We start from the raw sequence: 27950 nt of genomic DNA on the forward strand, positions 1-27950 counted from the left end.
AGTAATTGGCAAAAAGATAGAGAGGGAAGCCTTGGGAGTGGATGCAGTTTCCTGTTCATGAACTCAGCCAATATTTACTGGCCATCTACCATGTCCTGCACTAGGAATTGGGAATCTGAGCAATGACTGATGTGAGGGTACGGTCCCTGATACTACAGAGTTTATCGTTCAGTGAGGGTAGAAATACCTTAAATACAGTTGGACAAAGTACTTATTGTAGTTGACGTAAGTGTTGATGTGACAGAAAGATCTCACTTATCCTGGAGAGACTGGGCAGGTATCCCTGAGGAACTGATGTTTCAACTTAGTACTAAAGGAAGAAAGGGATATGTGGGAGGGATTTCGAGGCAGAAGACAGCCTGACTTCAAGGAGTAGAAAGAGGGCCTTCAAGGAATAGAGGGTGTGAGTGGAACAGAGCAAGTAAGAGGGAGCATGTGAGGCTGGCGGGGTGGGCAGGCCCCAGAGTGTGCGGCTCCTCATAGGCCGAGGAAAGGATTTTGGACTTCCTCTTAAGGGCGTAGAGAACCATTTAGTAGTTTTAAGCAGGGGAGCAGCATGCTGAGATGTATGTGTTGAAAACATGACTCTGGCTGTTGTGCCCTGAATGGGTTGAGGGTGGCAAGAGGCGATTGCAGTAGCCCAAGCAAAGCAAATGTGAGCAGAAAACAAGGATTGAGGATGAGCCCTGAGGAGTAGGTGGGGACACTCATAGGAAGGACTGTCAGAGTCTGAGACACACTGGCAAGAGAGGTAGTCAGAAAATGGGAAGAGTTGGCCGGGCGCAGTGGCTCACACCTGTAATCCCAGCACTTTGGGAGGCCGAGGCGGGCAGATCATGAGGTCAGGAGATTGAGACCATCCTGGCCAACATGGTGAAACCCCGTCTCTACTAAAAATATAAAAATTAGCTTGGCATGGTGGTGCGCTTGCCTATAATCCCAGCTGCTTGGGAAGCTGAGGCACGAGAATCTCTTGAACCCAGGAGGCGGAGGTTGCAGTGAGCCGAGTTTGCACTACTGCACTCCAACCTGGTGACAGAGCGAGACTCGGTCTCAAAAAAAAAAAGAAAGAAAATGGGAAGAGTAAATCATGGGAACCAGAGAAAAGATGATGTCAGCAGGAGAGTATTAAACAGTAGGTCAGAGAACTGGAAAGAATCCACTGTATTTAGTAATGGAGGGTCACTGATGCCCTTAGAGCACCTCTGAGAAGAGCCAAAGGAATGAATTAAAGAATGAACCAGGCCGGGTGCAGTGGCTCACGCCTGTAATCCCAGCACTTTGGGAGGCTGAGGCAGGCGGATCACCTGAGGTCGGGAGTTCGAATCAGCCTGACCAACATGGAGAAACCCTGTCTCTACTAAAAATACAAAATTAGCCGGGCGTGGTGGCACATTCGTGTCATCCCAGCTACTTGAGAGGCTGAGGCAGGAGAATAGCTTGAATCCAGGAGGCAGAGGTTGCAGTGAGCTGAGATCGTGCCATTGCACTCCAGCCTGGGCTACAAGAGTGAAACTCTGTCTCAAAAAAAAAAAAAAAATTAACCGGAGGTAAGAAAGTAGAGTCAAGTAGTATGGACAATTCTTCCATGAATCCTAGCTTTCAAGAAAACGAGAGGGCTACATGGGTATAAGGGTGTTTATAATTTTTTTCAAGTTTTTTTGAAAAGACCATTGTGATAGTAATTTTTTTTTAATTTTGAGGAGGTATTATGCATGTAGTTTTAGAAAATGAATGTTATAAAAGGTCAGATACTGACATCTACCCCATGACCTAGTTTCAGTCTCTGTCTTAGCAACTTAATATGTCTTTTAGAGATTCCCTACATATACAAAAGTTTATATCTCAGAGGAGGTTTAGTTTTATTTTGCTTTTTAAAAATGGAGCCTGTTTAAATGCTAGTGAGAACCAGCAGAGGGAGATACTGAAGAGACAAGAAGAATTGACCGAGGAAGTGCGTCTCTCTTTTCATGTCTGCATCCACCTTATCTCTAGCTCCATGGCCATGGAAGGCTGGCAGTTAAGGCAGTTAATGCCTGGTGGTTTCCATTTTCTCTTTGCATTAGTAACAAAGGTCATACATCACTGAAAATAACACAGGAGGTAGGGGTGGGAACCTTGAGCAAAGTGGAGGAGGTCTAAAATAGCCAACTTGAGAAATGGAAAAAATTCTGTGGGGGCAGGAAAAAGGGTTGTTACTATTATGAATTCATGTGAAGGGTCAAGTTGAACTTAAAGGGTGTTAATTGTAGTAGTATTGAGTCTCAATGCAAGGTGATTTTTCTGCAGCATTATTGTTGCTACATCACCCCTTCATACAGAATAATTTCTGACAAAACTATGGGTATTTAAGATAGTTCAGTTAAGAACAAGATCCTCTGTACACATTGATGGACATGCACATAGCTTAGTAAGCTGAGCAACAAATATTGCCTATAGCTTTGGTTTCTTAAAGTATACAGGTACTTTTGTGTTTCGAGAACCACCTCTATATGGCGTGGCACAAATTAATGATAGTCCACATCTGACAATATAGTGATATTCCTGAAACACTGATTGAACCTAGAGTGGTTAAGAACTAGAATAACAGAAATCATTATACTACAACCTGTATTTGAGAGATCAGGAAATTACAGCTCTAAGAAAATACTTTAACAATCAATGTCATGTGGCTCACTTTTTTCAATTCTGGGTGTCTAACCCAGCTATCACAATTCCTACTCTTACTGGCATGAAAATTCAGTGATTTTTCCATTGACTATAATAGTTCTCAGACTATGCTCCCATGGAACCACTGGTGTTTTCATAATCAAATTCCAGTTATTTATTTAGAGACAGGGTCTCACTCTGTTGCCCAAGCTGGAGTGCAGTAGCCTGATCTTGGCTCACTGCAGCCTTGACATCCCAGGCTCAAACGATCCTCGCATCTCCGCCTCTTGAGTAGCTAAGACCACAGGCATGTGCCACCACATGCTGCTAATTTGTAGAGACAAGGTCTCACTATATTGTCCAGGCTGGTCTCCAACTCCTGGGCTCAAGCAATCCTCCTGCCTCAGCCTCCCAAAGTGAGCCACTGTGCCCAGCCAGATGCAGGTTATTTTAACACTGATATTGAATATGATGATTATTTCAAAATTGGCAGAAAAAATTACCTAGTGGAAAGACAAAATTTTTTTGTACTTTGTCTTCTCATATGTTTCTTTTAAAGTTTTGGTGTTTGCTGCCACTTGTTGGCTATAGACAGCAGGTGACAAATATTGAGAAACCGTGAATTGCTACCTCCAAGTTTATCAGCTTGTATTTCCTTTAAGAACTCATACAGTTATTGTTGTGATTTGTATATTACATACCTTTTGGTACTCCTATTTTTTTGTTATACATTCAGAAACATTTAGTCACAGCCTAAGATATGGTGGGCAGTTGTGCTCATTTGGGGGCTATAAAAAATAAGATTCCATCCCTTCCCGCAAATAACTTAGAGTTTAAATTGGAAATTGGAACAAAAAGGAGTTGATGGTGATCAGTTCTTCTTGGGTATGAGAGACAGGAAAGACTTCATAGAAGAGGTGATATTTACACCGTTTTAAAAGATGAGATGAGCATTCATTGGACCAGTGGGAAAGGCCCTCCTAATTAGGGAGAACTTTGTGAACAAAGCAGCAGGGGCATCAAAAGGCCTGGCAAGTTGTTCATTGTGGCCAGTGTGTGTTGTGTGAATGGGGCCATGATGGAAGATGGAGCCAGAGAGGCATCAGGGAACAGTTCCAGAGTGGCTTGCTTTCTGAAAAGAGGAACTTTGAACTTTGTTCCCTAGGCAGGGTGGAAACCATTAACAGTTTTTAAGCAAAATAACAACAGGATAACTGGTTTTGTGGATTTTTTGTTTTTACAAAAAAAACTCCATAGTAAAGAAGGATAGAGTGTTTGAAGCTGTAAGTCTGGAGTAGGGAAACTAGTTGGAAGATTAATGTTTAAGAATGCAGGCAAGAATTGTGGGCCTGAAGTAACTAACCCTATAGAAATAGAGATGGACAGGAAGAAGTCCATCTCTAAAGAAACTTAGTGATGATTGGATTGAGGAGAAGAAGGAATTGAGATAACCTGGTTTCTGGCTTGTGTGAGTAGGTGGACAGGTAAGATTCACCATGATAAGGAATAAAGAAATAATCTGATATGGAAGGACAGTGGTGAGTTACATGTCGATAGGTTGCTTTAAGAACCATCCGGTAGGCTATTGGATATATTGGGCTGCAGTTAAAACTTGGAGAGTCATCAGCATATAATTATTAGTTAAAACTCTGGGGTGATGAGGTTGTCCAAAGAGATCGTTTGTAGTAGGAATTCTCTAAACCCGGAATCTAAATATCCTGAAATTACCCAAAACGTTTTATATGTGGTTTTTGTTAGAGAAAAGTCCATCGCTTTCATCACATTCTCCAAAGGGATAAACAGGTTCATGTGAAAAGGGATGCCAGACAGGGTCCTGAGTGTCTCCATCGTGTAAGTGATGGTCAGGGGAAGCAGTCTCAGCAAGGAAAATACAGAGGAGCAAGAAGGAAGTCTGAGAAATGGTTAGGTGGTGGCTGCCGCCTTAGAGAGGTAAAATAAGAGAAGGGCTGAAGAGTCCGTGGGTTTGGCAATTAATAGATTTGTAAAATTGTTCCTAACTAACAAGATGGAGTTAAATGTACTTCATGAAGCTCCCCTAGAGGCACCATGGTTTCTGAGAACTTTAAGAACCACCGGCCTACAATAAAGTTCAAGTGTCTCAGTGAAGTGAGTGTTATGGTTGTTTAAAATTTGTTCTTGCCTTACCATGACAAGTTTTAGCTTGTTTCAACATTCCGAACCTTAAAGCTAGACAGATCCATCTTTTCACTATTTTTTAGATACTTCATGCAAATCTTAGCTCCCAGCTTTTGCCCACGTTTTTCATCCTGCCATGTTCCCTACTCAATCACTGCTCTCACTCCTTCAGAGTGTAGTGTGTACTGCTTTCTGTCTTCCCTTTTCTCATTGTCTCAGCTGCATTGATTTCCCTCTATATTCTGGTGATAATGCCTTAGGTTGCTACTTATTTCACATTACTGCTGCCTCTTCCCTAAGAGATTTTACTCCTAAAGGCTAGTAATATATTTCCCTATACCCCCTAGTGACCAAACGTTCATATACTTATTATAGATCCTAAAATATTTGAATGACTTTAACTGACACCGAAGATAGTTGGGGGAAATGTCTTTTTTTTTTTTTTTGGAGACGGGGTCTCGCGCTGTCACTCAGACTGGGCTGGAGTGCAGTGGCTTGATCTCAGCTCACTGCAACCTCCGCCTCCCAGGTTCAAGCAGTTCTCCTGCCTCAGCCTCCCAAGTAGCTGGGATTACAGGTGCCTGCCCACCACCATGCCGAGCTAATTTTTTGTATTTTTTTTTTTTTTTTTTTTTTTGAGACGGAGTCTCGCTGTCGCCCAGGCTGGAGTGCAGTGGCGCAATCTAGGCTCACTGCAGGCTCCGCCCCCTGGGGTTCACGCCATTCTCCTGCCTCAGCCTCCCGAGTAGCTGGGACTACAGGCGCCCGCCACCTCGCCCGGCTAATTTTTTGTATTTTTAGTAGAGACGGGGTTTCACCGTGTTAGCCAGGATGGTCTCGATCTCCTGACCTCGTGATCCGCCCGCCTCGGCCTCCCAAAGTGCTGGGATTACAGGCGTGAGCCACCGCGCCCGGCCTTTGTATTTTTAGTACAGATGGGGTTTCACCATGTTGGCCAGGCTGTTCTCGAACTCCTGACCTCGTGATTCACCCGCCTTGGCCGGGAAGTGGCTTTAAAAAAAAATTCATATGATGTATTCCAAATTACATAGGAGTGATTTATGGATCGTTTTTGCCACTGGGATTCCATTTCTATAGGTAATCAAGAGTTGATTACATATCAGAATAAGATATTGATGTAATAAGCTTATGAACTTTTTGGCCTTTATTTGGCATTTTAGCTTATTCTTAAAGTGGTTTTCTGTGTAAAATCATTTTTCAAAGAGGAAATATCTTTTCTGGATTTTAAAAATAAAATATGCTTATAAAATAAAAGTCAAGTCTACCAAGTTGAAACAAAATCTTACTAATATTTCTATGCTAGTCTGCTATAAGCATTCATGTTTTATAAGCATATTTCCTGTTCATAAATTCAAGTAGGTACCAATGTGATTAGCATACAAAACTTGGTCATTTAAAATGCAAGTGATTCACTAAGATTAAATACAATTAATTATTTGGGAAATAACTTCAGTGGCAGATGTTTTTAGTGTTCCTGGATGATTTAACCATTGACTTAAAGCCATCATTTCTATTTCTTTGATTGTTTGCTGGAACACTTGGCATAACCCAGGGCTATGATAGGAAACACTGTAGCCAAAAAAAAGAAAAAGGACCAGGGTTGCATTGCTTTATTCTAGCATCTGAAAAATTTAAAATGTTTAGAATTAAGGGGAGTAGAAAAGTTAGATGCTGCCAGTTGGATCTTGTATCTGCTAGAGTGTGAACAGATACCCACTAACAGCAGTCCTGAATTGTAGCGGTCACCTGAAAGGAGGAAGAAATCCTTAGGCTTTAGTGGGGCTCAATTTGACAAATACTAAAATGTACATCTAGGCTTTTTTTTTTTTTTTCCTGGAACCGCAATATATATTTCCACAGAATTACAGTTTTTGTGCATTTCTGCACACCATGTAATCACATTTTTTAAGAGAAGAAAACTTTTGACCAATTTTCAAAAGAAAGCAAAGTTTTTTTTTTTTTTTTTTTTTTTTTTTTTTGAGACGGAGTCTCGCTCTGTCGCCCAGGCTGGAGTGCAGTGGCGCGATCTCGACTCACTGCAAGCTCCGCCTCCCGGGTTCACGCCATTCTCCTGCCTCAGCCTCCCGTGTAGCTGGGACTACAGGCGCCCGCCACCACGCCCGGCTAATTTTTTGTATTTTTAGTAGAGACGGGGTTTCACCGTGTTAGCCAAGATGGTCTCGATCTCCTGACCTCGTGATCCGCCCGCCTCGGCCTCCCAAAGTGCTGGGATTACAGGCGTGAGCCACCGCGCCCGGCCGCAAAGTTTTTAATTCACAAAGATTACTGCTTGTTGAATAGAATATAATGAAACAAAATATTAAGATGCAGATAGTGGGGATAAAATAAGCCCACTCCTGGGTGGGCGCCTGGTTCCTGCACAGCTGCCTCATGGTGTCCCTCAGCCCAATTTGTGCCTCAGCAACATGGCAGATATCACATGGCTTAGACCTTTTGTCATTAATGCATTATGACTGTTAAAACAACTGTCATGGACCTCTGTACTTTGTAATAAAAACTTTCTTAAAATTTTCAGGGAAAAGCAGTTATCTCAATTAACAAGATTTTTCAGTATCTAAGACTTAAAATGATAATGTAACTGTCCAATGCAGTTTAATCACCTTTTTATCTTAGAAGACATTTTATGATCTAATGTTACCCTTGGGCATGTGGCTATATATTATTCCAGAAGAAAAAAAAAATTACTGAGACTTTACTTCAAAATTTGTTAGACACACTTAACTGTGTTTTTTATCTTTTATTTTTTACTTTTATTTTTTTTTTTTTTGACATGGAGTCTCACTCTTTTGCCCAGGCTGGAGTGCAGTGGCACAGTCTTGGCTCACTGCAACCTCCTCCTCCTGGGTTCAGGCGATTCTCCTGCCTCAGCCTCCCAAGTAGCTGGGATTACAGGTGCCTGCCACCACACCCGGCTAATTTTTTGTATTTTTAGTAGACAGGGTTTCGCCATATTGGCCAGGCTGGTCTTGAACTCCTGGCCCCAAGTGATTCACCCACCTCTGCCTCCCAAAGTGCTGGGATTACAGGCGTGACCCACCGCACCCAGCCGGAACTGCCTTTTTAAAAAGAAACTTAAACGTGGCATTGCCTTACTTTAAGGGAGGAAAACATAGTCATTGGAGTGAAAAGACAAGATACCATGGTGCCTTGTTGCCAAGGCATCGTGGCCAACAACAGTCTGAGGGATAGATTAGAATAGTTGCTCTTAGGTGGCTTGAGTGCCTGCTACCTAATCCAGTCATGGGTGAGTCTAAATAAAATCAGCATTCTCTAGAAGAGAGCTGTCCAATAGAAATGTAATGCAAGCTGCAGATGCCATTCAACATCTACTAACCACATTGAACAAAGTAAAAAGAAACAGCTGAAATTGCTTTCAAGAATGTATTTGATCCAATATATCCAAAATATTATTTCAACCTGTAATAGTTTTAAGTTACTTAGTGTTCTTTTTTTTGTATGATACAAAGTCTTCAAAATTCAGTGTGGGTTTTTTTTTTTTGCTTTTTTTTTTGTTTGTTTGTTTTGTTTGTTTGAGACTGAGTCTCGCACTCTGTCGCCCACGCTGGAGTGCAGTGGTGCAATCTTGGCTCACTGCAACCTCTGCCTCCCAGTTTCAAGCGATTCTCATGCCTCACCCTCCCTAGTACTGGCATTACAGGCGTGCACCACCACACCCAGCTAATTTTTGTGTTTTTAGTAAAGATGGGGTTTTCCCATGTTGCCCAGGCTGGTCTCGAACTCCTGGGCTCAAGCGATCCACCCACCTTGGCCTCCCAAAATGCTGGGATTACAGGCATGAGCCACCGTGCCCAGCCTCAGTGTGTATTATATTTTAAGCATATCTCAATTCAGATTGGCCACATTTCAAGTTTTCAGTAGCTGTATGTGGCTCGTAATAACCGTATTGGATAGTTCATCTCTAGAACATCTAGAGAATGTGTGCCCATGATGTTGAGAAATGAGTTCCCTTGTGTCTGGTGTTTGATATTAAGTTATGGACGTTAAGAATGCCTGAATCTATTGCTGGCCAAGTAAGCCACTAACCTAGGTCATAAAGAGTTAGCTTTGGGACCATTTATTTCCATGATCAAAATAAATACATCTGGGTTTAACCTGAATCACCATTTAGTAACATAGTCATCAGTTTCAGTACCTTTGTCTTTTTCCAGGTAAAACTCTTTAGCCTCTTATCAAACATGTTATGCCACATCTAAATTCCATATTTTATGTAATATAAGGAAAAATAGTTTTATTTGTATGATTTATACTTCATGTGTTAGGAACCTGTGACTACATGTTCTGAACTGTTAGTAAGAAAAATGGTATTGGATACCTTACTCTTTAAGATTTTTAATTATTTTTGGTAAAACTGGGAAATAGCCGTCTGATTTGCATTTTATTTTCTTTTGTATTTTAAGGATATGGAATATTATCTTGTAAAATGGAAAGGATGGCCAGATTCTACAAATACTTGGGAACCTTTGCAAAATCTGAAGTGCCCGTTACTGCTTCAGCAATTCTCTAATGACAAGCATAATTATTTATCTCAGGTAAAGAAAGGCAAAGCAATAACTCCAAAAGACAATAACAAAACTTTGAAACCTGCCATTGCTGAGTACATTGTGAAGAAGGCTAAACAAAGGATAGCTCTGCAGAGATGGCAAGATGAACTCAACAGAAGAAAGAATCATAAAGGAATGATATTTGTTGAAAATACTGTTGATTTAGAGGGCCCACCTTCAGACTTCTATTACATTAACGAATACAAACCAGCTCCTGGAATCAGCTTAGTCAATGAAGCTACCTTTGGTTGTTCATGCACAGATTGCTTCTTTCAAAAATGTTGTCCTGCTGAAGCTGGAGTTCTTTTGGCTTATAATAAAAACCAACAAATTAAAATCCCACCTGGTACTCCCATCTATGAATGCAACTCAAGGTGTCAGTGTGGTCCTGATTGTCCCAATAGGATTGTACAAAAAGGCACACAGTATTCGCTTTGCATCTTTCGAACTAGCAATGGACGTGGCTGGGGTGTAAAGACCCTTGTGAAGATTAAAAGAATGAGTTTTGTCATGGAATATGTTGGAGAGGTATGTTTCATTTGCCACGTAGTAAATGATGGACATGCAAGGTTTATACTTTTGGAAAATTACCTTTTTATCTCTTTAAGAGATACTTGGTACATTTTGATATTTTCATTTGCAGATATGTAGAAATTTATTCAGATTTAGGAGAAGAGTTCACTGGCATATTTAGAAATAAAAAACTTTTATATGAATAAAAAATATACGTTAAAACAAATTGATATAGTCATCTTTCAACAAATACACATTCCTACTAGTCAAACCTAGGATTTGTAAAATTTAAAATATGACAACTGTTTTTACCCAAAAGTCCTAAGAAGAAACTCAGATGTAACACATGCTGCTTTGAAACTTGAAAGTTTTAATTTACTTCATCTATTTGACCAAATATGATTAAATGTAGTTGGCAGAACTCTATTTTGGATCAACATGAAAGATACTATATTTATGAGTTTTGTAAAATATACACAAGCATTTATTGCATCCATAATCTGTAACTTACTTTTGAACTGTGAAGACCATTCTCAAAACTACCATACAAATACTAGCAAATTTATTTGTATACAAATCATATATATGTATATATATATATAAATGTAAAAAGTATTTGCCGTGTGTCACATACTATTCTAAGCACTTGATGTATTAATTCACTAATCCTCTCCAAAACTCAGTGAGGTAGTACTGTTTCTTTTTTTTTTTTTTTTTTTTTTTTTTTTGAGAAGTAGTACTGTTATGTCCATTATTGTAGAGAAATTGAGTACCTTGCCCAAGGTCACACAGGTCACATAGTAATAAGAACCGAGATTCAAAGCTCTAAAATCAGTAGTCTTCACCATGGCACCACACTGCTTCAAACTGAAGGGTAGGTTGAGCTGTGACTAGAAAGACACAAGCATGGCTACATATCTGGAGTTGTCAACTCTGGATTTTTTAGTTGGAATTGGGTCACCTATAATTATCTGTATTCATCTATAATTCTGAAACTAAATTAGATGGCTGTTTTGATTCTTACACTTTTAGACAGTGGTAGATTATTATAAATTATTCAGTATACAAGATCTTGTATAATCAAATTACTCTTTTTGTTAACCAAAATTTTTTAAGTTGCATTCTTAATGAGTGCAGCAGCCAAATTTGGTTGGTAACATAAAGTACTTTAGACACTTTTGGTTTCTTAAGCCGAGCGTGTCATAAAACTTGTGTTCTTAAGAGCAGAACTGTAGATGACGATCTTAGACTTACAGAATTGCATGAAAATAACATATTCTACAAAAACAAAACCTTCCATTCCAAAGTTAACATAGCTTCTCCCCTGTATTTTTAACAATTTTCCATTTGTAACTGCATATATATAAGTTATAGGAAAAATGTGCCTGGATCATATTTAGAGCATATACTTGCAGATTTAGTCCTTAACATTCAGTTGTGTCCTGTAGAGAGCTATAGTTGTATAGCTTTTTGAACATCCTAATTATAATGAAAGTAATGCAGTGTTCCAATGTACTGCTCAAATCCTGTTTAAAAAGTCATAAATCAACCAGTTACAGTTAATCCCAGCACTTGGGGAGGTCAAGGCTGGAGGCTCACTTGAGCCCAGGAGTTCCAGACCAGTGTGGGCAACATAGTGAGACCCCACATCTCTATAAAAACTAAATCATTAGCTGGGCATGGCGGTATGCACCTGTGATCCAGCTAGTCAGGAGGCTGAGGCAGGAAGATCGCTTGATCCCAGGAGTTAAAGGATACAGGGAGTCATGATGGCACCACCGCATTCTAGCCTGAGTGACAGAGTGAGACCCTGTTTAAAAAAAAAAGGTCATCAGTCTTTTGCATTATCATTTTTCTTCCCCTCATTTTCCCACCTCTTTGCATCTGAGTCTTAGTTTGTGTGAATGTTTGCTTTGATGACACCTGAATTTCTTACTTTTTAAATATTTGTAGGTATTCGCATATTAGTAGATAGGTAGATGAATGCTTCTTTGGTTCAGTAGCTACGTAATATACTTACAGTTTTTTCTGTTTAGGTAATCACAAGTGAAGAAGCTGAAAGACGAGGACAGTTCTATGACAACAAGGGAATCACGTATCTCTTTGATCTGGACTATGAGTCTGATGAATTCACAGTGGATGCGGCTCGATACGGCAATGTGTCTCATTTTGTGAATCACAGCGTAAGAAGACATACGTAAATTTTAGACACGACTAACAATTCAACCTAGTACTAGTTTCCATAGCTAAAGAATAATTCCCTTTAAACTACATATCCTTTTAACATTTCCAAAATATGTATTTTATAAGGAGGGCAGCTTCTGTTAAGTTATGGTATTATTGCTGTATTAGGAAAATTAAACATTGAGGTGCCTACCAAATATTAATAGGGTGTATTTTACAAGAGTCTTTACATATGTTACTTCATTTAAACTTTCTAGTAACTTTGTACGGTAGGTATTACTTTCATATTACAATGAGCAGAGCAATTAAGAGGTAAAATGTCCAAGAATTACACAGAACTGTATCTTAATGGAAGTTAACACGACTACATTTTAGGATGTACAACTGAAGGTAAATGTATTTTCTTAAAATGTAAACATGTTAACTTTTTATAAAATTTAAAGATTTGTAGAGTATTTATGTAGGGCTATTTTTCTAAATTATAAATTAGTATTCTTCCTTACCTTTTAATGTCTGAAAGCTCTTAGAATACAGCTGGCACTTAACTGCAGAATTCTGGACTCTAAATAATTTCCAAAAATTAGGGAAGTTAATAATTTTGGGTTACCTACTAAGTAGCAAGTGGACAGTAAAACATTAGGCTTGTTAGGGTGACATTATCTGCATTTTGTGGATAATAAGGACAGTGTGTGCCACAAAGTTATATAGCTGAACATATAAAGGAAGTAGACCATGTTAAACTTCTGATGGATTTCATAGTAAGAAATTGGTGTATGATTAGCAGAGAGCTTCTGGGCCCTTGTTTGTTGATTAAACATTGAAGAATTTTTTTCTTAATGATAAATTCGAGATACTCTCAAAATAGAGATATTCTATCCAGGGCCATCAAACAGTTTTGATTCCTTAGTATGACTCACTACATCTTTTTTCTTGCATATTCCGTAAGTTTACTGTAGTATTCTCAAAACATTGAAGAGTTTGGACCAAAAATTCAAGCAGTGAAACTCCATGCAGTGTAAAATTTGAGTTCTGTAGTGCAGATTTGATTTTTTAAACACAGTTGTTCTAGTTATTTTAAAGTGTATGCCTTACTGAAATAGTTACCAGTGAAATAATAATGTTATCTGGGATTTGTATTGAAATTCTCCAGGAAAAAAAAAAGTTGGGACTAGAGGAATAAGATTGGCAAGCATGTTACTAATTGTTGAAGCTGTATAGTGGATACATAGGGATTTCTTATTTTCTCTATTTTATACTTGTCTGAAGTTTTTATAAGGGAAAAAAATCTTTTTAAATGTGCATGCCTCAAAGACCTCTAAGCAATAAGCAACTTAATTTCCAGTGGAACTTAAACTAAATCTCTAGGAAAGTAAACATTTTATATGGCATGTAGAAGGGCTTGTTTACACCGTTTGTACTTAAATGGGTTCTAATGTTCCTTTTTAGTGTGACCCAAATCTTCAGGTGTTCAATGTTTTCATTGATAACCTCGATACTCGTCTTCCCCGAATAGCATTGTTTTCCACAAGAACCATAAATGCTGGAGAAGAGCTGACTTTTGATTATCAAATGAAAGGTATGCTTTTCAAGTACAGTTTCATTGGTGTCAGTTTCAATATGAAGAATCAAATCAGACTAGGAACAGACCTTAGATATTTGAACCAAACCTAATACTAAAGATGAAAAGTTGAGGCACTAAGTTTGTCATCCTAAGGTACAAAGCTAATCCAACAGCTAATACTAGAACCCAGGTCTGCCTGAGCTTCAGCTGAGGAATGGTTCTACATCGTAAATTTTCAGAACTTCCATTTTGGAAACTGATTTATTTATTATAGCATCTTAATACTGTACTACTTGTCTTTTTTTTTTTTTTTAAATTGTGGGCTAAGCATGCTGGCTCCTGCCTGTAATCCCAGCACTCTGGGCTTGAGCCCAGGAATTCAAGACCAGCCTGGGCAACATGGTGAAACTCTGTCTCTACAAAATATGAAAAAACTAGCCGGGCGTGGTGGCGTGTGCCTGTAGTCCCAGCTACTCGGGAGGCTGAGGTGGGAGGATGGCTTGAGACAGGGAGGTTGGGGCTACAGTTGAGCTGTGAATAGCACCACTGCACTCCAGCCTGGACGACAGAGACCCTGTCTGAAAAAAAAAACTATAAGCCTACATTTTTGAATTTTTACTGAGAGATGTATATTCAAAAGATTGAAAATATTTAAATCACATACAAATTTATTCTATTCCTACTTGAACCTGGCTTTTAAAAAGAACATTTAATTCTATTTGCTTTATTGTGACAATATAAATGTTTTCTTTCCTTTAAGAATGATGGCCTTTACATATTGTCATTGCTTAACCTCTTACATACTGTGCTTTTATATACGGTGTGAAATGAATGTGTATTAGATATTCCCAGTAAGTTTCATCATTTCAGAAATCCTTTCTGACAAATATGGGCTAATAACATAAAGTTTACCTATTATTAACCCACACCATCCTTTCAAGACAATTCATTATGATTTGACGCTGAATATTAACATTTATTTGTAAATATTTCAAAGGGAACTAACTACATTTCCTTGGGAGTTAACTTACTCTAAGGGTCTTGACCATGTAAGTACCCTCTATCACTGATAATAAAGCTAATATAATAGAAAATTTGAAATTTATTCTAAATTGTCTTAACTCTCTTTCTCCTATATTTCTTTTTCTGTGTCTTCAGGTTCTGGAGATATATCTTCAGATTCTATTGACCACAGCCCAGCCAAAAAGAGGGTCAGAACAGTATGTAAATGTGGAGCTGTGACTTGCAGAGGTTACCTCAACTGAACTTTTTCAGGAAATAGAGCTGATGATTATAATATTTTTTTCCTAATGTTAACATTTTTAAAAATACATATTTGGGACTCTTATTATCAAGGTTCTACCTATGTTAATTTACAATTCATGTTTCAAGACATTTGCCAAATGTATTACCGATGCCTCTGAAAAGGGGGTCACTGGGTCTCATAGACTGATATGAAGTCGACATATTTATAGTGCTTAGAGACCAAACTAATGGAAGGCAGACTATTTACAGCTTAGTATATGTGTACTTAAGTCTATGTGAACAGAGAAATGCCTCCCGTAGTGTTTGAAAGCGTTAAGCTGATAATGTAATTAACAACTGCTGAGAGATCAAAGATTCAACTTGCCATACACCTCAAATTCGGAGAAACAGTTAATTTGGGCAAATCTACAGTTCTGTTTTTGCTACTCTATTGTCATTCCTGTTTAATACTCACTGTACTTGTATTTGAGACAAATAGGTGATACTGAATTTTATACTGTTTTCTACTTTTCCATTAAAACATTGGCACCTCAATGATAAAGAAATTTAAGGTATAAAATTAAATGTAAAAATTAATTTCAGCTTCATTTCGTATTTCGAAGCAATCTAGACTGTTGTGATGAGTGTATGTCTGAACCTGTAATTCTTAAAAGACTTCTTAATCTTCTAGAAGAAAAATCTCCGAAGAGCTCTCTCTAGAAGTCCAAAATGGCTAGCCATTATGCTTCTTTGAAAGGACATGATAATGGGACCAGGATGGTTTTTTGGAGTACCAAGCAAGGGGAATGGAGCACTTTAAGGGCGCCTGTTAGTAACATGAATTGGAAATCTGTGTCGAGTACCTCTGATCTAAACGGTAAAACAAGCTGCCTGGAGAGCAGCTGTACCTAACAATACTGTAATGTACATTAACATTACAGCCTCTCAATTTCAGGCAGGTGTAACAGTTCCTTTCCACCAGATTTAATATTTTTATACTTCCTGCAGGTTCTTCTTAAAAAGTAATCTATATTTTTGAACTGATACTTGTTTTATACATAAATTTTTTTTAGATGTGATAAAGCTAAACTTGGCCAAAGTGTGTGCCTGAATTATTAGACCTTTTTATTAGTCAACCTACGAAGACTAAAATAGAATATATTAGTTTTCAAGGGAGTGGGAGGCTTCCAACATAGTATTGAATCTCAGGAAAAACTATTCTTTCATGTCTGATTCTGAGATTTCTAATTGTGTTGTGAAAATGATAAATGCAGCAAATCTAGCTTTCAGTATTCCTAATTTTTACCTAAGCTCATTGCTCCAGGCTTTGATTACCTAAAATAAGCTTGGATAAAATTGAACCAACTTCAAGAATGCAGCACTTCTTAATCTTTAGCTCTTTCTTGGGAGAAGCTAGACTTTATTCATTATATTGCTATGACAACTTCACTCTTTCATAATATATAGGATAAATTGTTTACATGATTGGACCCTCAGATTCTGTTAACCAAAATTGCAGAATGGGGGGCCAGGCCTGTGTGGTGGCTCACACCTGTGATCCCAGCACTTTGGGAGGCTGAGGTAGGAGGATCACGTGAGGTCGGGAGTTCAAGACCAGCCTGGCCATCATGGTGAAACCCTGTCTCTACTGAAAATACAAAAATTAGCCGGGCGTGGTGGCACACGCCTGTAGTCCCAGCTACTCAGGAGGCTGAGGCAGGAGAATCACTTGAATTCAGGAGGCGGAGGTTGCAGTGAGCCAAGATCATACCACTGCACTGCAGCCTGAGTGACACAGTAAGACTGTCTCCAAAAAAAAAAAATTTTTTTTTTTTTTTTTTTTTTTTTTTGCAGAATGTGTCAACAAAAAATACTTTCTTAATGGCATTTGTGTTTTAAGAAAAATCAGTCACATAGTGTCAGTGTTAAGAAAAGGTTGTAGGTTTACAGGTTGCCCCCAGTGGCCATACTTTGAATTGTGATTCTCACGGGTTTAAAGATGTGATTTTTAAAAAATCAGTGTTTTACCATCTAGTTATTTGATCTTGTCCACTTTTTTGTGTTCAACAAAAGTGTAAAACTGGAAAGCAAAGAAAAAAAGACTATTTTCAGTAAACATGTAGTTTTGTTTTGTCTTTATTGATAGAATGTAATGGGCCTTTGGGATCTTAAGTACTACTTATGTTACCTTTGTTATTCAGATGCTGAACTTAAGCAGTGAAATAATAGAAACTAAAGGATGTTATTAAGGGGTTTAACTATTTTAAGTCAACATTTAGCTTATCCATCATATTGGTTTCCTGAAGATGTCAGAATTTTTCAGTGTAAGACAAATATCAAAGGTAATAGATCCAGTTTAAAAGGTGAATCCACTGTATGTATTATATTGATACCATCATTTTCAGGATCTACATTAAGAGGATGGTGATACATAATTAGTAATCTCAGGGTTTTTTCCCCCATATCTAAAATGTAGACAATAGTTGTTTCTCTTTTAGTTCATCAGTTTCTCTTAGCAAAATAAATTAGGTTGGGCATTTAATGTTCTATTTACCATGGCTTAGCTTTGTTTCTGTTTTACAGTCATTTCCAGTAAGACTATAAAAGGGGCAGAAAAATACTGATGTATTGACTACGTGCTAGCAAGATTAACCGAAGGTTTATATTCAATTCCTTTAAATGTTACTTTCCTTTTAAGATAGCTTTCATGGTTCATGCATTTGATACTACACTTGATCTTGGCCAAAAGGCCAAGGAGTGATGGTTCATGCATTTGAATATTAAAGGACAATTTGACATTTCGCTAGCATAATGTGGATGAATACTTCAGAAATTTTTGAGCATTGTCACTCACCAGGTACGTAAACATACTATGGTAAGTACTGCCTAGAAATGCAAAGGAATTTTAGAATTCAGAGCTCATATTCATTGACCCAGTCTTTTATGCCTTTTATATGTATTCATGTGCTTCTAATGAACCTGTCAGGTTGGTGTAAGGTAACAAGCTTAGACTGTTAAGATAATGTCAACATGCCAAGATCACCCAGTGAACTTTTTAAAGTATTTAATCTTCGGCTTCAGGCAGACTTTTTAAAAAACTAGTTTATACTATTCAAACATTTAAGTCCTGGAACTCTTCTCCAAGATAAATGTGGCTGACTGCTGAGTGTCTTCTGTGATACATCTTGGCATTTTGAAACTTCATGTTTCGGCTGGACACGGTAGCTGACGCCTGTAATCCCAGCACTTTGGGAGGCCGAGGCGAGTGGATCACCAGAGGTCAGGAGTTCAAGACCAGTCTGACCAATATGGTGAAACCCTGTCTCTACTAAAAATACAAAAATTAGCCAGGTGTGGCACACACCTGTAATCCCAGCTACTTGGGAGGCTGAGGCAGGAAAATCACTTGAACCCTGGAGGCTGAGGTTGCAGTGAGCTGAGATAGGGCCACTGCATTCCAGCCTGAGTGACAGAGCGAGACTCCATCTTGAAAAGTAAAAAACAAAAACTTCATGTTTCCTCTTGTGGTTTATGATTCTTGACGTAAAAACCAAGTAGCTGCTACAATTAACCCTGCTCATGTTTATACTTTTTTGGAGAGACATCAGAGCATAGCAGTTAAGATCATGGTCTCTGAAGCCAAACTGCCTGTGTTTGAATTCTGCCTGTGCCTCATAGCTATGTGAACTAACCTCTGTGCCTTTGTCTCATTTGTACATGGGGATTAGAAATGTATCTACCTCAAAGGGTGGTTGTGAAAATTAAAGGAGTTCATATAGTCTGTAAAAAACTTAAGAGCATCATCAGAGTAAGCACCAAATATAATTTCTGGTAATCACTATCGGTTTCTTGATCACATCTGTTGTAGTTGTCTTAGCCCAATTCATTCAGCCAGCATTTATAATGCCAGACTCACATATAAAACAAACGTAACAGTATGTAATATTAATGTGATTATAAAATAACAGGAATATATTCAGAGGAATGTTTACAGGCATTTTTTGAACAACCACTTTCGATCATAAGGTACACTGTTAAAACTAAGTTTTAGTTAACAGTGAATATATACAAATGTGTATAGTTATGTGTATACTAACTCTGAGTCTTGTTACCCTGGTTAGTCTGGTGGATCCAATACTTTTTGGTCGGATTGCCATGCAGCATCATGATAATGCATATCAAGTGTTAGTTTAACTGATCTGCAAATTGTTTTAAGTGGTGTCTCTGCTTTTGCTTCCATAATCTATGAAATGTCACAATAACTAAGTGTTCCTGAATATCTGTTAAAACTTGTTAAAAATCCTCATACATAACACAAAAGCCTAACACATTGATGGACTTCAAGAATGTTGAATGACTCACAGAATAACACATATACTTTAGTTTTTTTTAATTTATTTTTCTTGAGATGGGGTCTTGCTTTGTTGCCCAGGCTGGGCACAATCAGCTCACTGCAGTTTCAACCTCCTGGGCTCAATCCATCCTGCCACCTAAGCCTTCCAAGTAGCGAGGACTACAGGTGCACACCACCATGTCTGGCTAACATTTTGTGGAGACAGGGTCTCCCTGTGTGTTGCCCAGGCTGGACTCAAAACCCTGAGCTCAAGCGAGCCTCCCAAAGTACTGGGATTGCAGGCAGGAGTTACTGTGCCTGGCCACCATTTAATTCTTGAGCATTTTCTTTTATATTCTAATTGTCCGCTTCTAATTTGGCCACCGTATTCACATCAAGGTTAAGTGACTTAACATCTTTGGGGATAAATAAGGTGCTGATTTTGTCTATAGCCATCAGTTTATCATACTAGATCCAAGTTTGTCAATTTAAATCAGGTGTGTTTATGAGCAAAGATATGATCATGCTGAATGTTCCATGTGTACTTCAGGAGATACATTCTGCTAGTTTGGGGTGGTGTGTTCTATAAATGTCAATTTAATCCAGTCGGCTTATGATTTTCAGTTCTATATTCTTACTGATTAATGTGTATATACTAGTTCTGTTACTAAGGAGGGATGTTAAATTAATCCCTAGCTGTAATTGTGCATTAGTTTGTCTCTTTTCAGCTGTTCTAGCTTCATAAATTTTTGGAGCTGTTAGGTGCATATACGTTTAGGATTATTTTGTCTTCTTGGTGAACTAGACCTTTTATCATTAGGAAACTGTCCATATAACCACTCCATTTTTAATTGTTTACATGGTTTTTCCATCCTTTTAACCTATCAATCACTTGAATTGACTTTCTTTATAGACAGCAGATCACTGGGTTATGTTGGTTTTTTCCGTGTCTCTTGTCATTGATGCACTTAGACCATTTACATTTAATGTAATCATTGATACGTATGGGTTTAGTTCTACCATTTTTTTTTCTTTTTTTTTTTTTTTTTTTTTGAGACAGAGTTTTGCTCTTGTTGCCCAGGCTGGAGTGCAATGACACAATCTCAGCTCACTGCAACCACCACCTCCCAGGTTCAAGTGATTCTCCTGCCTTGGCCTCCTGCGTAGCTGGGATTACAGGCATGAGCCACCGTGCCTGGCCTTTTTCTTTTTTAAACAGGGTCTTGCTCTGTCACCCAGACTAGAGGTGCAGTGGCACAGTCATGGCTCACTGCAGCCTCAATCTCCTGGGCTCAAGTGATCCTCAAGGGCCTCCAGAGTAGCCCACCACCATGCCTGGCTTTTTTTTTTTTTTTTTTTTTTGTAAGTAGAGACACATTTCACTGTGTTGGCCAGGCTGGTGTCGAACTCCTGGGCTCAAGCCATTGCCCACCTCAAAGTGCTGGGATTACAAGTGTGAGCCACCACACCCAACCAGGTTATTTGAACATTTTTAAGTACTGTATTTTCTCTATTGTAATATTGACTGTCATCTCTGTGCAGGTTTTTTAGTGGTTGCTCTAGGTTGAAACGCTTTGAATTCTTAGGTATCTAAGAGTGAGCATTTTCTTTTTTTGACTGCTATACTCTCACCAGTTGCCAGCTTCTCATATAAATATTGTAAATGCTCTCGTTTAGGTAACTCAGCTTCTGGAGTTGAGGGAACTTCAAAATCAGAAGAGCTCTGGGAATCTGCATTTGTGCTAAGATTTAGCAAACTTTTTTCCTCGGGTATATGTGTCTCACTGCTTAGAGTAGTTGGTTCTCCAGTACTAGGAACTATTGTCACATCTTTATCTCTGCTTTTCAAATCAGAGTAAGTATCCTTTGGGCAAATTACATTTTGTTCCATGAGAGAGGCAGGAATATTCTCTTTGATTGTTGGTCTGTAGTCAGCTTTGTCCAAGGAAGTAATATCCCCACTGTTTCTCTCTTGGGAAGATAACAAAACAGTATCAGATTGGCTGTCCCAGCCTTGACTTCCTTGTTCTGTTATGTGTGTTGACTGGGAAGAATTCTGGGAGGAGATGTGAGTTGATTCTCCATCAGAGTCACTGAAAAGCTTTGGTGACTGAGATCCCCCTGCCACTGTGGAGGAAGGGAAGTTTTCCAAACTCTCATCTGTGATTTCATCATTTCTTTTAAAGAATACTTCCCACTGGGGTACATCCCCATCAGCCTTTTGCAGGTGAAGTACAGAGCCCAGATCTCCTTGCAGTGAAGCTGGGATTCCTACTTCTTCTTCACTTTCACTGTTGGATTCTTCACAATCTACAAAGTTTGTGAAACGAGAGCTCTGCATACACTCTGCTCTGCAGCATCCTGGGGTTTGTCTCAGTTTTTCAGGCTGCTTTTCTGATACTGCAGTCATTGAAAATACCTCAGGGTGAAAAGTTTCCGGGTATGGAACTTTGTGCCTTAAAGGTATTGGCAGAGGATCATCAAAGAGATAGTCATCTTCCTCCTCTGTGGGACAAACAAAACAGGTTTATAGGAAACAAGGCAAAGGGAGCCAATTTGTAGTATTTATCTGTACTTTTAATTCTTGGAATTGCAAAGAATAGGGAGGCCACTCTTCTTCAAAGGGAAAAGATATTCTTGGGATATGCTGAACAATTTAACTGCCATCCTTCAACTTTTTATAATAAATGCCAGAGTATCAGTGGAGAATATAGAGCAGTCACTCTGCTCTATATGTAAGCCTGGCTGATCATTACGATCATATGCAAAACTTCAAAAAAAGAAAAAAAAAAAAAACAGGTTTCTGTATCTCATTCCAGACCTACTGAATCCCTGAGGAAGATAGGACCAAATAATTTGATTTTTAAGTTCTACAGCTGATATCTGTTCAGCCAGGTTTGCAAAGCCTGTGTGCTCTGCAAATAGTAGATGCTCAGTGGGTTGGCTGACTTAGGAAAATTAAATTGCTTTTTATTAAGGTTTTTCTTCTGTGAGCATCTTATTGACATGTTTTATGCACAAGGTTGCAACAGGTTAAATCAACTTTAAAGCAAAATACTGAATAATCAACGTGTCAAGAACTTAAAATTCAAAACATTAATAAGCATGCTGTGTCAACAAATGTTCTTAAAATGAAAAAAGCCTTACTTAGAAAAACAAATATTTTCCCATCTTGTAACAGTATCTAACCTAGGAAGAAAGTTAAATGCACCCAAGACTACTGTGTATGGCAACTTCTTGTTCTACTGCTGAATCTGGTGTTATAATAATCCACTTAAATGATGTGGCTAAACACTGCATTTTTAAGACACTAATATAAAGGACCATAGAGACCATTATCCAGCTCCCATGTTCCCCGTGTGAAGCTAGGCCCAGAGAAAAGGGTGTGCCAATACACACGACCCAACCTCATTCTTAAAGGTTCAGTGTTATGACTTGTAACTGAACTTAGGGCTTAAGGTCACTAAGATATCTAACGACTGTATTTGGAATCATCCTAGACTGCAGAATGTAGATTTTAAGCCAAAGATCATATGTATGTTTTAGGTCCCTCACTACTATGCCAAAGTTGTTTTTTGAGTTTTATACAGTCACAGTTCAGCCTCTACCTCTCAGGCTCAGGAGATCCACCCCCATGCCCAGCTAATTTTTTTTAGACAGTGTTTCCCCTTGTTGCCCAGGTTGGTTTTGAACTCCTGCACTCAGGCAATCCACCCCCTCGGCCTCCCAAATTGCTGGAATTAGAGGCATGAGCCACTTTGCCTAGCCCAAAATTACCTTTTTATGAAATATTTTTGTATGATCTCTAAGTTGAACAGTTCTGCATTCCAAATCAGTGACTATGCCTGATCCCAAAAGACATTTATCAAAAAGGAGTGTGGATTGGGTAGATGCATAAAAGGCACAAAAGATTAAAGGAAGAAAGGACTTTTGCTTCCAGGTAAGATGGAGTAACGGACTAGATTTAACCTCCCACTTGAAATAACGAAAAATCAGAAACTATCTCTCAAGAAAATGGACATCGAGCAATTAAGGACAATGACATGAGAAATAAGACACAGATGAGTCCTATGATTGCCTGACTCCCTGCTTCATAACAGATTCCAGTCAGGGAGGGAACATCTGGATAGAGCCCATGGACATCCTTGATGTGAGGTGGAAGTGGAACATTGAAGAAATAAATGTACCTGGAGTTTACAGAGCAGAAGACCAGAGAGGAGAGTGCTGCACAGAAACTCTGAAAAGCTGCAGAGGCGTCCCCACCACGTGTTCAGTGCACTAAGCAGCATGTGCTTGTAAGGAAACTACCTGCAGCCAGGCAACGAATCACTCAAACAAAAGGAAAGAAAGTGCCCAGAACTCACCGTGCCAGGAACAGTGTCTTGTCCTGGTCCCAACAGCCAGAGTGGAAAACCTCATGATCCATGGGCATTTGTAAAAGAACCAAGAAGAGCCTTGCCTCAGTAGTGGGGAAAATTAACCATATACTAAATGCTACTCTGTTCCTGCATAACAAAGGTAAAAGACACGAAAAGATCAAACTATAAACATGCTAACCACATGCCAGAACAAAGCTCAAGAATGTTTTTAGAAATCCCAAAATTATGCAGGACCTAAAAAGGTAAAATTCAGAATGTATGGCATTCAAAAACAAATTATCAGAAATTCAAGAAGCAGGAAGATACAGTCAAAACTGACTGTAAAATTATGTAACATGGGAGTCAATTTTCATGATCTTGGATCAAATAGTTTCTTAGATATGACACCAAAGCATATGCAATAAAAGAAAAAAATAGACAAATTTAACTTAAAACCTTTACGCTTCAAGACACCATCAAGAAGGTGAAAAGACAAGTCTGAGAAAATATTTCCTAATCATGTCAGATAAAGGACTGATACCAGACTTTAACTCTTACAACTCAATACAAAGGTCAATAATCCAGTTGAAATGGGGGCAAAAGATCAGAATAGACATTTCACTGAAGAAGTTACATAAATGGCCAATAAGCACATGAAAGAAAGCTCAACATTAGTCATTAGAGAAATGCAAATCAAAACTGCAGGGTACCACCATACACTAGGATGGCTATACTAAAAAAGACGGAAGTGTTGGCTAATATGTGAAGGAACTGGAATCTTTACATATTGCCGGAGAGAATGTAAAATGTATTCAGTGTGGGAATGTTTGGCAGTTCCTTGGAGTGTTAAAACAGATTGACCATATGTTATGAACTGAACGCTTCCTGTCAAAATTCATATGTGGAAGCCCTAAAGCCAGTGTGGCTGTTATCTAGAGATGGACCTCTAGGGAAATAATTAAACCATCATAAGGCTGGAGACTTGATCTGCCTAAGTGCTAGAATTACAGGCTTGAGCCACTGTGCCCAGCCTAATTTTTACTTTTTTTTTAAGCAGAGACAAGTTTTCACCATGTTGGCCAGGTTGGTCTTGAACTCCTGATCTCAGGTGATCCATCCGCCTCGGCCTCCCAAAGTGCTGGGATTATAGGCGTGAGCCACTATGCCTGGCCTCCTGTTTAAGCTACCTAGTATGTGTTATTTTCTTAGGGCAGCCCAAGCCAACTATATGACTCCAAAATTCTACCCCCCACAAGAAATAAAACCCAACAGAAAGATACGTAAAGACTTGTACTCAAATTTTCATAGCATTATTATTTAAAAAGGAGAAGCAACCCAGATGTCCATCAGCTGGTGAGTGGATAAATAAAATGTTGTATGCCTGTACAATTGAATATTGGTTGGCAATAAAAAGGTATGAAATACTGATATATGCCACAGTATAGATGTACCTTGAAAAGATAATGCGAAATAAAAGCCAGGCACAAAATAGCACATGGTGTATAATTTCTTTTTTTTCTTTTTGAGACAGAGTCTCGCTCTGTCGCCCACACTGGAGTGCAGTGGTGTGATCTCACTGCAAGCTCTGCCTCCTGGGTTCACGCCATTCTGCCTCCGCTGCCCTAATAGCTGGGACTACAGGTGCCCGCCACCACACCTGGCTAATTTTTTGTGTTTTTAGTAGAGACGGGGTTTCACCGTGTTAGCCAGGATGGTCTCGATCTCTCTGACCACATGATCCACCCGCCTTGGCCTCCCAAAGTGCTGGGATTACAGGCGTGAGCCACTGTGCCTGGCCAATAGCTGGGACTACAGGCGCCCGCCACCACACCTGGCTAATTTTTTGTGTTTTTAGTAGAGACGGGGTTTCACCGTGTTAGCCAGGATGGTCTCGATCTCTCTGACCTCATGATCCACCTGCCTTGGCCTCCCAAAGTGCTGGGATTACAGGCGCGAGCCACTGTGCCTGGCCATATGAGTTCTCTTATATGAAGTGTCCAGAAAACACAAATCTATAGAGACAAACCATAGATTAGTTGCGGCCTAAGGCCGGGAATAGTAATGGGGAGTGACTGGAAATAGACATAAAGTTTCTTTTTTGGGTAACAAAAAATGTTCCAAAATTAGATAGTGGGGATGATTGTACAATTCTGTTATACTAACAGTCGTGGAATTGTTCACCTATAATGGATGAATTTATGGTGTATCAATTATACTTCAATAAAGCTTAAAAAATAATTTTGTATTGTGGAGTTTATAAAGTTAATAACAGAGAATGTATGACAATAACAGCACAGACTGGGAGAAGAGGAATGGAAATATACTGCTGGAACATTCCTATACCATATTTGGAGTAATATATCATTTATCTTTTCACTCTGATATGTTAAAGATGTATACGGTCAGTCCTCTGTATCCACAGGTTCCACATCTGTAGATTTGACTGACCACAGATCAAACATATTTGGAAAAAAGCAAAAATTAAAATACAAAAAACACAAAAATTGATACAGTATAACAACTAGTTACCAAGCATTTACACTGTATTAGGTATAAGTAATCCAGAGATGATTTTAAGTATATGGGAGGATATGTGTAGGTTATATGCAAATGTAACACCATTTAATATGACTTGAGCATCTGCAGATTTTGGTACTCTTGGGGGGGTCCTGGAACCAATCCCCCAAGGATACTAAGGGATGACTGCATTATAAGCCACTAAAATAAGAAATCAGTGAGTTACACAGCCAATAACCCAACAAGAGATTAAACAGAATCAGTCAGTAATTACTTGACCTGAAAGAAGGCCAAAAAAGAATAAAGAACAAATGGAACAAATAGCAAGAGGATAAACTTAAACCTGACCATATCAATGGGTACCATTAAACTAAGTGGACTAAGCACTGCAATTAAAAGCCAGAAAATACCAGGTTGGCCATAAAAACATCCAACAACATACTGCTTACAAGAAACCCACTTTAAATATAAAGACTAGTTAAAAATACAGAGATGGAAAAAGATACATCAAGCCAATATTAATGAGAAGAAATTCAAATGGCTCTAGTAGATTGTAGAACTAAGAATGTTACCAGGGGATAGACTCATTTCCTAAAGATAAAGGTATCAATCCCTCAAGAGGATATAAGAATCTTAAACTTGTGTATACCTATTAATAGTGCCTCAAATAGATGAAGCAAATGCCAATAGAACTAATCAAGGCAAAATAGGCAAGTCCACAATTACAACTGGAGATTGCAACACCCCTCTCTGGCAATAATTGATAGAACAAGAATGTAGAAGACCTGAACAACATTGTCAACTAACTTAGCCTAGTTGACATTTATAGAACACTTCATCCAACAACAGTAGTACATATATTTCTTTGAAGTACACATTAAACATTTACCAGGTTTAATGTGTAAATTGGTCCACAATTGATGGTCCGTAAATATTCTGGACCATAAATTTCAAAAGTACCAGGCCAGGTGTGGTGGCTCACGCCTGTAATCCCAACATTTTGGGAGGCAGGTGGATCACCTGAGGTCAGGAGTTTGAGACCAGCCTGGCCAACATGGCAAAACCCTGTGGCTACTAAAAATACAAAACATTAGCCAGGTATGGTGGCGTGAGCCTGTAATTCCAGCTACTTCGGATGCTGACACAGGAGAATCACTTGAACCTGGGAGGCAGAGGTTGCAATGAGCCAAGATTGTGTGACTGCACTCCAGCCTGGGGAACAGAGAGAATCCATCTCATTAAAAAAAAAAAAAATCATACAAAGTATGTTCTCTAACCACAATAACATTAATTTAGATAACAGAATAATCCCTGGGAAGTCCTCCAAAATTCAGAAACTAGTAACAAATTTCTAAATAACCCATGTGTCAAAGAAAAAAAGTCAAAGGAAAAATTTAAAAATGTTTTGAATGACAATGAAAACAAGACAAATTTATGGGATGCTGCTAAAGAGGGAAAATTATAGCACTAAATGCCTACATTAGAAAATAAGGTCTCAAATCAACGACCTCAGCTTCCATATTAAGAAACTTAAAAATGAAAAGCAAATAAAATTCCAAGTAAGCAGATAAAGATCAGAGTGGAATTCAATGAAATAGAAAACTACCCCGTGCCAAAAAAACAAAAAAGAGAGAAAATGAAAATAAAACCAAAAACTTCTTATTTGAGAAGATCAGTAAAACTGGTAAACCTCTAGCTAGACTAATCAAGAAAAAAATGAGAGAAGACACAAACTACTAATATCAGGAGCAAGAGGATTAATATCAGTAGATTCTACAGATAGTAAAATAATAAACATTAAGAACAAGTTTATGCCAAAAAATTAAGCA

At 38.6% G+C, this 27950-nt stretch overlaps 2 protein-coding genes across 29 annotated transcripts in view, besides 1 other annotated feature; one reads left to right on the forward strand and one right to left on the reverse strand.

Annotated features, from left to right (window-relative positions):
• Nucleotides 1–16736, forward strand: part of SUV39H2 (SUV39H2 histone lysine methyltransferase) — a 25450-nt gene extending 8714 nt beyond the window's left edge. For 6 of the 8 annotated variants that reach the window (NR_034181.2, XM_047425741.1, XM_011519662.3 and 3 more), the window contains 4 exons: nt 9267–9938; nt 11960–12106; nt 13554–13683; nt 14827–16736. Coding sequence is in view for 7 of the 8 variants with exons in the window: in NM_001193424.2 (NP_001180353.1) it covers nt 9267–9938; nt 11960–12106; nt 13554–13683; nt 14827–14933 (1056 nt within the window). In the remaining variant the exon portion in view is untranslated. The remainder of the gene's footprint in view (nt 1–9266; nt 9939–11959; nt 12107–13553; nt 13684–14826) is intronic. The other 2 variants (NM_001193427.2, NM_001193426.2) reach the window with 1 other exon arrangement.
• The window catches only part of DCLRE1C (DNA cross-link repair 1C), a 57074-nt gene continuing 38903 nt past the window's right edge, over nt 9780–27950 (reverse strand). For 9 of the 21 annotated variants that reach the window (NR_146961.2, NM_001289078.2, NM_001289076.2 and 6 more), the window contains one exon: nt 17034–21751. Coding sequence is in view for 17 of the 21 variants with exons in the window: in NM_001289078.2 (NP_001276007.1) it covers nt 20829–21751 (923 nt within the window). In the remaining 4 variants the exon portion in view is untranslated. Of the gene's footprint in view, nt 11734–17031; nt 23752–27950 lie in introns of those variants that run through there. The other 12 variants (NR_146962.1, XM_047425650.1, XM_047425648.1 and 9 more) reach the window with 5 other exon arrangements.
• Nucleotides 16774–17474: an enhancer, noted in NCBI's record as "NANOG hESC enhancer chr10:14946352-14947052 (GRCh37/hg19 assembly coordinates)". NCBI's record gives its function as "activates a minimal SCP1, AML or CMV promoter by ChIP-STARR-seq in primed H9 embryonic stem cells {active_cell/tissue: H9 hESC(primed)}" and the evidence as "EXISTENCE:reporter gene assay evidence [ECO:0000049][PMID:30033119]".

The sequence above is a fragment of the Homo sapiens genome, chromosome 10, assembly GCF_000001405.40.
Source record: "Homo sapiens chromosome 10, GRCh38.p14 Primary Assembly".
In the NCBI taxonomy this organism is placed as follows: domain Eukaryota; kingdom Metazoa; phylum Chordata; class Mammalia; order Primates; family Hominidae; genus Homo; species Homo sapiens.